Source organism: Homo sapiens, chromosome 5, assembly GCF_000001405.40.
Source record: "Homo sapiens chromosome 5, GRCh38.p14 Primary Assembly".
Classification (NCBI taxonomy): Eukaryota; Metazoa; Chordata; class Mammalia; order Primates; family Hominidae; genus Homo; species Homo sapiens.
The window spans coordinates 8,081,713-8,094,515 of NC_000005.10; the positions used below are offsets into that span (position 1 = coordinate 8,081,713).

The 12,803-nt window shown below is 42.2% G+C and overlaps 1 annotated feature.

Annotated features, from left to right (window-relative positions):
• Positions 8,452-9,651: an enhancer, noted in NCBI's record as "BRD4-independent group 4 enhancer chr5:8090277-8091476 (GRCh37/hg19 assembly coordinates)". NCBI's record gives its function as "activates an origin of replication core promoter dependent on BRD2, P300/CBP, MED14 and CDK7 cofactors, and independent of BRD4, by STARR-seq in HCT116 cells {active_cell/tissue: HCT116}" and the evidence as "EXISTENCE:reporter gene assay evidence [ECO:0000049][PMID:35650434]".

A 12,803-nucleotide genomic window follows, 5' to 3' on the forward strand; every position in this document is an offset into this window, starting at 1 on the left:
AGATTAAGTGGCACCTGAGCTTGTGGTTCCACCAAAAGCGCAGTGCCTGTTTCTAGTGGCCTCCTGGAGGGATGTAGTGCCCTAATCTTTCTGCTTTCTTCCGTGATTGAGCTGGCAGAGAGGTAGATGATTCAGAGGACTGTGACTTACAAGGTGTGTTTGCAGGGACAGTTGCTCCTTTGATGGAAGATGTAAGGAGGTGGGCCTGTGTTGAAGCCCTCCTGAGTATGGCTACTGTTCCTATCGGCCTATGACTAGAGAAGCCCAGGAACTAACACTTCTTTTGGATGTATGCTTGGCTTCAGCTTTATTTTTTAAGTTTTGCCTTTCATAAATTGTGACGTTTTGTTTTTTTTCTGCACTTGCTCAAATGTTTAAAGACAATGATTTGAAAAGTCATTTATCCACATATTGTTTTTAATGAATCAAAATAAAAATGGCATCACTTTCTTCATTTTTCAGAAATTAAATCCTTTTTGTTAAGAATTTTTCTCTTCTTCAACCCCAAGCACGAACCTACCCTTATTTTCCGCTCATCTAGAAACAATGATGATAATGACTAAAACTTCTCAGGAAAGCCTGGCTAGCTGGAATCCTTTATTGTCATGATTCAAAAACACTCTGGCTGTACTCTTTGAATATAAAATAACTCGTCTCTACAATATTGAGAGAGAAGTAGCTTTCGCAGGCCTCCACTGGTGCTCACAGTTTTCCACTCTGAAATCTGGCTGTTTTCCTGGTCCATGTCATGTCTCACCTTCAGCTCAGGGCACCCTCACCCCAAGTTTCAGCCCAGGCCTCTCCCCTGGGCTTTGCCTATTACATCTGTTAATTTAAAAAACCACAAGACAATTGGCCGGGTACAATGCCTCACGCCTGTAATCCCAGCACTTTGGGAGGCCGTGGCGGGCGGATCACGAGGTCAGGAGATCGAGATCATCCTGACTAACATGGTGAAACCCCACTTCTACTAAAAATATGAAAAACTAGCCAGGCGTGGTGGTGAGCGCCTGTAGTCCCAGCTACTCGGGAGGCTGAGGCAGGAGGATGGCATGAACCCGAGAGGCGGAGCTTGCAGTGAGCCGAGATCTCGCCACTGCACTCCACTCCAGCCTGGGCCACAGAGCGAGACTCCATCTCAAAAAAAAAAAAAAAGAAAGAAAGAAAAGGAAAAAAAAAAAAAGAAACAAGACAATCTATAAATTTGTTTTAGAGTTGCAGCCTGCAAGGTGGCCGTCCTGCAGGCTGGGAAGCACAGCCTCTAGTTGAAGCACAGAGATAGGTAGTTTAAAGGAGGAGGAATTAGGGTAGGAGATTTGTTTTGCTCAATGAGTTGGCTAAACCTACATCTAGGGCAGGTTACAGGAGGAGCTATGAATATTTGTGAAGGTCGTCATGAAGGATGTGTATTAAACCAACGTGCATGGAACATATAACCCATGTTCACTTTGGGATGGAGGCTTAACATTTAAATGTATTGCAATTAGGCCTATTTGTCAAAAGGTCTTCTCAGAACACAAAGGCACAAAAGTGCACAATCTGTAAAGCAGGCAGAACCAGTCCATGCTCTGTGGTCTTCTATTCAGGAGAAAGTTACTGAAATCATTCTCTTGTTCAATCAAAGCTGTAGTTACCTCTGCTGGAGCAGCGGGTGAGTTAGTCAGCATCTGGTGGGTCCTCAGAGTTTTTTCATATTGCCCATCTCGAGGCCAGTGCTTGTTTAACTTCTAGAGAAAAAGAGAAACCTCTTGGCGATTAGAACATATTTCATTCTTTAAAGGAAGGGTGCATGACTTCACCCTTTCCTGGTATGGCCTCAGGTTCTGTTTATAATTTGGTGTCTTATTGTCACAAAGAATCTGTTCTGTCAGTTTTAGGATCTTTCTTGTAACATAAATGCTGTTCAGTTGTGTCTCAACTCCAAAAGGGAGGGGGCATAATGAGGCCTGTCTGACCTCCCATCCCGTCATGGCCGGGAACTCAGCTTCAAGGTTTTTCTGGGGTCCTCTTGGCCACAAAGGTTCTATTCAGTCAGTGGAGGGCTTAGAATTTAATTATTAATTTACACATCCAACACTCTTGGTCCTTCAAGATATGTGGTGGGTGCCAGAAACTCTCCCTTTCTAGAAACTCCACGAGTCTGTTTCTCTTGACTGAGTCACCATCTCTCCATCCAGATGCATAGTCTGCCAAGATCAGACACTGGCAACCTCCCGCCTAATCCCCTCCTCCTCTATCCCCACATCCAGTTAGTCCCAAACTATGATTAGGCTGCCTCCTAAGTCATTTTTCAGGTCCTTTGTCCTTCCCTGTCACCATGGACACTGCATTTGCTCTTCTTGGCACACTTGATTACCTGGTCTCCATCCCACCCCATATTGCTGCTAGAGACCCATAGGATGGGCGCCATCTGTCTTCCCATCATGTGTCTCCCATGCATTAATCCCATCTGCGCCTGTTCCTTGGCTACGTCCAGACTTCTTTTCTTTTTTTTTTAAATTTATTTATTTATTATTATTATACTTTAAGTTTTAGGGTACATGTGCACAATGTGCAGGTTAGTTACATATGTATACATGTGCCATGCTGGTGCGCTGCACCCACTAACTCGTCATCTAGCATTAGGTATATCTCCTAAAGCTATCCCTCCACCCTCCCCCCACCCCACAACAGTCCCCAGAGTGTGATATTCCCCTTCCTGTGTCCATGTGTTCTCATTGTTCAATTCCCACCTATGAGTGAGAATATGCAGTGTCTGGTTTTTTGTTCTTGCGATAGTTTACTGAGAATGATGATTTCCAATTTCATCCATGTCCCTACAAAGGACATGAACTCATCATTTTTTATGGCTGCATAGTATTCCATGGTGTATATGTGCCACATTTTCTTAATCCAGTCTATCATTGTTGGACATTGGGTTGGTTCCAAGTCTTTGCTATCGTGAATAATGCCGCAATAAACATACGTGTGCATGTGTCTTTATAGCAGCATGATTTATAGTCCTTTGGGTATATACCCAGTAATGGGATGGTTGGGTCAAATGGTATTTCTAGTTCTAGATCCCTGAGGAATCGCCACACTGACTTCCACAATGGTTGAACTAGTTTACAGTCCCACCAACAGTGTAAAAGTGTTCCTATTTCTCCGCATCCTCTCCAGCACCTGTTGTTTCCTGACTTTTTAATGATTGCCATTCTAACTGGTGTGAGATGGTATCTCATTGTGGTTTTGATTTGCATTTCTCTGATGGCCAGTGATGGTGAGCATTTTTTCATGTGTTTTTTGGCTGCATAAATGTCTTCTTTTGAGAAGTGTCTGTTCATGTCCTTTGCCCACTTTTTGATGGGGTTGTTTGCTTTTTTCTTGTAAATTTGTTTGAGTTCTTTGTAGATTCTAGATATTAGCCCTTTGTCAGACAAGTAGGTTGCAAAAATTTTCTCCCATTTTGTAGGTTGCCTGTTCACTCTGATGGTAGTTTCTTTTGCTGTGCAGAAGTTCTTTAGTTTAATTAGATCCCATTTGTCAATTTTGGCTTTTGTTGCCATTGCTTTTGGTGTTTTAGACATGAAGTCCTTGCCCATGCGTATGTCCTGAATGGTAATGCCTAGGTTTTCTTCTAGGGTTTTTATGGTTTTAGGTCTAACATGTAAGTCTTTAATCCATCTTGAATTGATTTTTGTATAAGGTGTAAGGAAGGGATCCAGTTTCAGCTTTCTACATATGGCTAGCCAGTTTTCCCAGCACCATTTATTAAATAGGTAATCCTTTCCCCATTGCTTGTTTTTCTCAGGTTTGTCAAAGATCAGATAGTTGTAGATATGCGGCGTTATTTCTGAGGGCTCTGTTCTGTTCCATTGATCTATATCTCTGTTTTGGTACCAGTACCATGCTGTTTTTGTTACTGTAGCCTTGTAGTATAGTTTGAAGTCAGGTAGTGTGATGCCTCCAGCTTTGTTCTTTTGGCTTAGGATTGACTTGGCGATGTGGGCTCTTTTTTGGTTCCATATGAACTTTAAAGTAGTTTTTTCCAATTCTGTGAAGAAAGTCATTGGTAGCTTGATAGGGATGGCATTGAATCTGTAAATTACCTTGGGCAGTATGGCCATTTTCACGATATCGATTCTTCCTACCCATGAGCATGGAATGTTCTTCCATTTGTTTGTATCCTCTTTTATTTCATTGAGCAGTGGTTTGTAGTTCTCCTTGAAGAGGTCCTTCACATCCCTTGTAAGTTGGATTCCTAGGTATTTTATTCTCTTTGAAGCAATTGTGAATGGGGGTTCACTCATGATTTGGCTCTCTGTTTGTCTGTTGTTGTATAAGAATGCTTGTGATTTTTGTACATTGATTTTGTATCCTGAGACTTTGCTGAAGTTGCTTATCAGCTTAAGGAGATTTTGGGCTGAGACAATGGGGTTTTCTAGATATACAATCATGTCGTCTGCAAACAGGGACAATTTGACTTCCTCTTTTCCTAATTGAATACCCTTTATTTCCTTCTCCTGCCTAATTGCCCTGGCCAGAACTTCCAACACTATGTTGAATAGGAGTGGTGAGAGAGGGCATCCCTGTCTTGTGCCAGTTTTCAAAGGGAATGCTTCCAGTTTTTGCCCCTTCAGTATGATATTGGCTGTGGGTTTGTCATAGATAGCTCTTATTATTTTGAAATACGTCCCATCAATACCTAATTTATTCAGAGTTTTTAGCATGAAGGGTTGTTGAATTTTGTCAAAGGCCTTTTCTGCATCTATTGAGATAATCATGTGGTTTTTGTCTTTGTCTCTGTTTATATGCTGGATTACATTTATTGATTTGCGTATATTGAACCAGCCTTGCATCCCCGGGATGAAGCCCACTTGATCATGGTGGATAAGCTTTTTGATGTGCTGCTGGATTTGGTTTGCCAGTATTTTATTGAGGATTTTTGCATCAATGTTCATCAAGGATATTGGTCTAAAATTCTCTTTTTTGGTTGTGTCTCTGCCCCGCTTTGGTATCAGGATGATGCTGGCCTCATAAAATGAGTTAGGGAGGATTCCCTCTTTTTCTGTTGATTGGAATAGTTTTAGAAGGAATGGCACCAGTTCCTCCTTGTACCTCTGGTAGAATTCGGCTGTGAATCCATCTGGTCCTGGACTCTTTTTGGTTGGTAAGCTATTGATTACTGCCACAATTTCAGATCCTGTTATTGGTCTATTCAGAGATTCAACTTCTTCCTGGTTTAGTCTTGGGAGAGTGTGTATGTCCAGAAATTTATCCATTTCTTCTAGATTTTCTAGTTGATTTGCATAGAGTTGTTTGTAGTATTCTCTGATGGTAGTTTGTATTTCTGTGGGATCGGTGGTGATATCCCCTTTATCATTTTTTATTGCGTCTATTTGATTCTTCTCTCTTTTTTTCTTTATTAGTCTTGCTACTGGTCTATCAATTTTGTTGATCCTTTCAAAAAACCAGCTCCTGGATTCATTAATTTTCTGAAGGGTTTTTTGTGTCTCTTATTTCCTTCAGTTCTGCTCTGATTTTAGTTATTTCTTGCCTTCTGCTAGCTTTTGAATGTGTTTGCTCTTGCTTTTCTAGTTCCTTTAATTGTGATGTTAGGGTGTCAATTTTGGATCTTTCCTGCTTTCTCTTGTGGGCATTTAGTGCTATAAATTTCCCTCTACACACTGCTTTGAATGCGTCCCAGAGATTCTGGTATGTTGTATCTTTGTTCTCATTGGTTTCAAAGAACATCTTTATTTCTGCCTTCATTTCATTATGTACCCAGTAGTCATTCAGGAGCAGGTTGTTCAGTTTCCATGTAGTTGAGCGGTATTGCGTGAGTTTCTTAATCCTGAGTTCTAGTTTGATTGCACTGTGGTCTGAGAGATAGTTTGTTATAATTTCTGTTCTTTTACATTTGCTGAGGAGAGCTTTACTTCCAAGTATGTGGTCAATTTTGGAATAGGTGTGGTGTGGTGCTGAAAAAAATGTATATTCTGTTGATTTGGGGTGGAGAGTTCTATAGATGTCTATTAGGTCCGCTTGGTGCAGAGCTGAGTTCAATTCCAGGGTATCCTTGTTGACTTTCTGTCTCGTTGATCTGTCTAATGTTGACAGTGGGGTGTTAAAGTCTCCCATTATTAATGTGTGGGAGTCTAAGTCTCTTTGTAGGTCACTCAGGACTTGCATTATGAATCTGAGTGCTCCTGTATTGGGTGCATATATATTTAGGATAGTTAGCTCTTCTTGTTGAATTGATCCCTTTACCATTATGTAATGGCCTTTGTCTCTTTTGATGTTTGTTGGTTTAAAGTCTGTTTTATCAGAGACTAGGATTGCAACCCCTGCCTTTTTTTGTTTTCCATTTGCTTGGTAGATCTTCCTCCATCCTTTTATTTTGAGCCTGTGTGTGTCTCTGCACGTGAGATGGGTTTCCTGAATACAGCACACTGATGGGTCTTGACTCTTTATCCAATTTGCCAGTCTATGTCTTTTAATTGGAGCATTTAGTCCATATACATTTAAAGTTAATATTGTTATGTGTGAATTTGATCCTGTCATTATGATGTTAGCTGGTTATTTTGTTCATTATTTGATGCAGTTTCTTCCTAGTCTCGATGGTCTTTACATTTTGGCATGATTTTGCAGCGGCTGGTACCAGTTGTTCCTTTCCATGTTTAGTGCTTCCTTCAGGAGCTCTTTTAGGGCAGGCCTGGTGGTGACAAAATCTCTCAGCATTTGCTTGTCTGTAAAGTATTTTATTTCTCCTTCACTTATGAAGCTTAGTTTGGCTGGATATGAAATTCTGGGTTGAAAATTCTTTTCTTTAAGAATGTTGAATATTGGCCCCCACTCTCTTCTGCCTTGTAGGGTTTCTGCCGAGAGATCCGCTGTTAGTCTGATGGGCTTCCCTTTGAGGGTAACCCGACCTTTCTCTCTGGCTGCCCTTAACATTTTTTCCTTCATTTCAACTTTGGTGAATCTCACAATTATGTGTCTTGGAGTTGCTCTTCTCGAGGAGTATCTTTGTGGTGTTCTCTGTATTTCCTGAATCTGAACGTTGGCCTGCCTTGCTAGATTGGGGAAATTCTTCTGGATAATATCCTGCGGAGTGTTTTCCAACTTGGTTCCATTCTTCCCATCACTTTCAGGTACACTAATCAGACGTAAATTTGGTCTTTTCATATAGTCCCATATTTCTTGGAGGCTTTGCTCGTTTCTTTTTATTCTTTTTCTCTAAACTTTCCTTCTCGCTTCATTTCATTCATTTCGTCTTCCATCGCTGATACCCTTTCTTCCAGTTGATCGCATCGGCTCCTGAGGCTTCTGCATTCTTCACGTAGTTCTCGAGCCTTGGTTTTCAGCTCCATCAGCTCCTTTAAGCACTTCTCTGTATTGGTTATTCTAGTTATACATTCTTCTAAATTTTTTTCAAAGTTTTCAACTTCTTTGCCTTTGGTTTGAATGTCCTCCCGTAGCTCAGAGTAATTTGATCGTCTGAAGCCTTCTTCTCTCAGCTCGTCAAAGTCATTCTCCATCCAGCTTTGTTCCATTGCTGGTGAGGAGCTGCGTTCCTTTGGAGGAGGAGAGGCACTCTGATTTTTAGAGTTTCCAGTTTTTCTGTTCTGTTTTTTCCCCATCTTTGTGGTTTTATCTACTTGTGGTCTTTGATGATGGTGATGTACAGATGGGTTTTTGGTGTGGATGTCCTTTCTGTTTGTTAGTTTTCCTTCTAACAGAGAGGACCCTCAGCTGCAGGTCTGTTGGAGTACCCTGCAGTGTGAGGTGTCTGTGTGCCCCTGCTGGAGGGTGCCTCCCAGTTAGGCTGCTCGGGGTTCAGGGGTCAGGGACCCACTTGAGGAGGCAGTCTGCCCGTTCTCAGATCTCCAGCTGCGTACTGGGAGAACCACTGCTCTCTTCAAAGCTGTCAGACAGGGACATTTAAGTCTGCAGAGGTTACTGCTGTCTTTTTGTCTTGTAGGCTCCCCAGAGGTAGAGCCTACAGAGGCAGGCAGGCCTCCTTGAGCTGTTGTGGGCTCCACCCAGTTCCAGCTTCCCGGCTGCTTTGTTAACCTAAGCAAGCCTGGGCAATGGCGGGTGAGCCTCCCCCAGCCTCGCTGCCGCCTTGCAGTTTGATCTCAGACTGCTGTGCTAGCAATCAGCGAGATTCCGTGGGCGTAGGACCCTCCGAGCCAGGTGCGGGATATAATCTCGTGGTGCGCCGTTTTTTAAGCCCCTGGGAAACGCACAGTATTCGGGTGGGAGTGACCCGATTTTCCAGGTGCCGTCCCGATTTTCCAGGTGCCGTCCGTCACCCCTTTGTTTGATTAGGAAAGGGAACTGCCTGACCCCTTGCGCTTCCCGAGTGAGGCAATGCCTCACCCTGCTTCGGCTCGCACACAGTGCACGCACCCACTGACCTGCACCCACTGTCTGGCACTCCCTAGTGAGATGAACCCAGTACCTCAGATGGAAATGCAGAAATCACCCGTCTTCTGCGTCGCTCAGGCTGGGAGCTGTTGACCGGAGCTGTTCCTATTCGGCCATCTTCAAGAGTTTCTAATAATGCATTTGCATTCAAGATTTGTTCATTACATTTTAAGGTAGGGATATATTTACCTCTTGGAACTTGTAGTCAGCAAGTATACAATTTTATATTTGGTCATTTATAGATTCTGGGCATAATTTATAAAGGAAAGTGAGAAAAATAAATGATACGAAATTATAAACTACTCCCCTGGGATGGAAAAGCATAATAGAACCAAACCAAACAAAACAATAAAACCATAGGACAATATACCATATGTTTCTCCACAATGTTAGGTCTTTGGACTATTAAATATTCTATAGTAAAAATATGCTAAAACTCACCAAGTTAGTAAATGACAAGTCTTTTTTCTTGTTAATCTCTTTCCTCCTTCCCCTACATAGAAATGAAATCTCAAGGACATCAATGAAAAGCAATTCTAAGTAAAAAAAAAAAAAGGAACCACTTTATCTTCCTCAGAAAAGCTATCACATAATTCTCTGCTTGAGCAAAAACTTTATTTTTAGTGTAGAATTGAGTTCAGAAGTTGTTAAATATAACTTTTGTAAAATTTGAGGCTTTTCATTTTTTATTTACTCTTTAGAAACTCATTCTTTTTAGAATCAAGATGAGAAGAAGCAATTTAAATATTTAACTTGGGTCTCAGAAATCATAGTATTCCACAAGATAAAGAGTTTTAAATTTTTGTGCTTTTTTCAGGCACACATGTTTGAGAGTCTAGGAACTGATAGAACATATTTAATCTACAGCAGCAATTTTCTAGGTACCTACCATGTGCCAAGTATTATGTTGGATTGGGGGAACATTCTAGTAAACAAGAGTTCCCTATTTCCGGGGAGACAATGAAACCAGGAGTCACCTTAAAGCCCAATTGTGTTACAATGGGGGAAGCCCAGAGCACAAAGGAATGCAATCAGGGCAGGCCTGCATGGTCAAGGGGTCAGAGAAGGAGTCCCTAATAAATGGATATTTAAGTTGAGACCTGACCATGGGTGAAGGACACGGGCAGGGGAAGGTTGTACTGGGTAGAGGACGTGGCAAAGGCCTGCAGGTGAGAGACAGCATTGGTGCCCTTGAGTCAAATGAAGGCCATCAGCAAGTGCAGGCCCTGGAGGAAGAGTGTTGAAAATGAGGAAGGAGGGGCCAGATCTCGAGGTCTTGAGAACCAGGAGGTTTGTTCATCTACAAGGTGATGGTGGGGTATTCAAGAGTTAAAAAAACATAATCCTGTTTCTAAATGCCACTCTGACTACAAACACTGGAGGGGTAACACAGGAGGCAGGAGACAAGCCAGAGAGCTGGATCCACAGTCCAAGAAAAAGATAATCAAGGCTCTACTAGAAGTTGAATAGAAGAAAAATTGAATATATACAAGAGATATTCTAGAAGCAAAGCTAAATATATTTGGTGACTGTTCAAATGTTGGTGATGAAGGAGGAGACCAGTGCACCCCACATAGCTGTGCTGGTTGCACACCGAGCACCCCAGGAGTGCCACCGTCATCATATCTACATGGAAGTCTCGTGAAGAAGTTGTACAGTGTGGCAGAACCCAAGAGCCCAGTGATGAAAGGCTGTGTCTAGGCCTCTATGTTGGGCAAATGGAAAGATGTTGGTGAAAGTTCAGAAGAGAATTAAGATTCTTAGTGGGGGTGGGGATGGAGGTAGCAGTGACAAAGGGAAATGATGAAGTGAGTGCTAAACACTTTGAGTTTAAAGACGCATAAGAGAGGAGGAACAGTATGTTTGGCGCTAAGGATTTTGGTCTACATGGGAATTGGATATTAGAGAAATCTTTGCACTCATGAGCTCACCAATTGATCTTGAAGAGTTGCCTAAGATTAGACAAGGAGAACATGTAGGTTCAGAAGGAGAAAGACCACTACCAAAACATCAAAAAACACCATGTTCATTGAGGAAGAGATTCAAAGGGGACTGATGACAAGATGGAGAAGGCAGATGGGAAACCAGAAAAGTGTGGTGCCACGGGATCCAGGAAGGAGGTGAGGTTGCCAAAGGGAAAAGGTCCACTGGGTTTAATGACACATGGTCACAGGTGGCCTCGATTAGAAGGATTCTGGGAGAAGGTGCAGAAGCCAGACTGTAATGAATTGAAAATGGAGGAGAAACTGCAGAAATGGAAGCAGATGGTGCAGACAGTTCTTTTGTGCAGTTTGGTTGTGATTATCAGGATAAACCATTAGAAAATGAATCAGGATAATGGGAGGTATTAAGGATACAAAAGGAATAGTGTATGTTTTTCAGAGTATGAACAATAGCCTCTAGAATATAGTGGAGGTAGTTGCTTTCCTATAGGATGAGGCACACATTTTTCATTACAATAGGAGGGTGGGGCATCCCACATATTTTCAATATATTTTTCACTTGAGTTAGCTCAGAACTCAAAAAGATGTAAACTTATATATCCTGATACTCAGAGAACAAATTTCTCAAGAACCATCTTGAAAATTCATATGTTCTCCAATACAATTACTATTTCATCACTTTTTGGAGAAATTCTCTTTCTCTTTTCAATTTACCTGTTCAGTGGCTTATACAATTTTAATGCTAATGGTATAGAAATTCAAATAGTTTCATGGATGTGGAAGAAAATGAACATCAATCTTTGCCCAAATAAGCTATGAGAATCTGTGAAGCACAAGTTGGAAGTAATAGCTGGATTCTTAAAAGAGGAGCCCTCTGTTAAATATCTGCATTCTGGCTCCCTACAGTCCAGTTGAAAATGTTCACAGGTACATAGGAAATCCTGGTTTGCTTCCAACTTTACATCTGGCACCTTGTATTAGTCCATTCTTGCATTGCTATAAAGAAATACCTGAGACTGTGTAGTTTATAAGAAAAAAGGTTTAATTGACTCACAATTCCTCAGGCTGTACAGGAACTATGGCAGCATCTGCTACTGGGGAGGCCTCAGGGAGAATTTACTCATTATGGAAGGCAAAGTGGGAGCAGGCATCTTACATGGCTGAAGCAGATGGGAGAGACAGAGGGAATAGGGGTGCTACACACTTTTAAACAACCAAATCTTGTGAGAACTCTTATCTCTATACAGTCCCAAAGGAGATTGCTAAACCATTCATGAGAACTCCACCTCCATAATCCCATCACCTCCCACTAGGCCCCAGCTCCAACACTGGAGATTACAATTCAATTCAACATAAGATTTGGGTGAGGACATAGATCCAAACCATATTATTCCAGCGCTGGCCCCTTCAAATCTCATGTTCTTCTCATAACGTAAAATACAGTCATCCTTTCCCAACAGTGCTCAAAGTCTTAACTCATTCCAGTACTAACTCAAAATCCAAAGTCTCTTTTGATACAAGGCTAGTCTCTTTCACCTTTGAGCTTACAAAATAAGAAACAAGTTAGTTACTTCCAAGAAACAATGAAGGTATAGGCATTGGGTAAATACTCCTGTTCCCAAAGGGATAAATTGGCCAAAAGAAAGGGGCTAGAGACCCCATGCAAGTCTTCAACCCAACAGGGCAGTCAATAGATCTTAAAGCTCCAAAATAATCTCCTTTGACTCCATGTCTCACATCCAGCGCACACTGGTGAGAAGGTTGGGCCCCCAAGGTCTTGGGCATCTCCACTTTTGTGGCTTTGCATGGTTCAGTGGCTGCTCTTGTGAACTGGCATTGAGTGCCTGAGACATTTCCAGCTGCAGGGTGCAAGCTGCTGGGGACTCCCTCTATGGCCTGTCATTAGCATTTGGCGTGCAGAGAATTACAAGAAAAACAGTTATTCCCTTCACAGAGCTTCAAGCCCAAGAGGGAAAAGTTGATGTTAAATAATTGAACAAATCTACCATTCTGGGGTCTGGAGGATGGTGGCCCTCTTCTCACAGCTCCACTAGGCATTGCCCCAATGGGGACTTTCTGTGGGGGCCCTAACCCCATGTTTTCCCTCTGTACTGCTCTAGTGGAGGTTCTCTATGAGGCACCTCTACCATGCAGCCTGTTGTGTAGTATGCCATCTTCCTTCTCAGGGAGCTCACCAGTATCTTGGGTCATTACCCAATCTCAGGATAGAATCTGAGCAAAGTTTCGGGTTCTACTCTTGAAGGTCCATGCACTGGGATCATACTGGGCTCTGTTGAGAAGAAACTCTCCAGACACCATGAAAATATGTCTAGTGTATCCCCTGGGCTCAGCAGTGGGCACTTACTCCTAAGGCTGGGAGGAAACAAGGTCTGCCTTTGCTGAGCATGATGTCTTCTCTGAGTTGTCATTTCCTGACTAAATGACTGG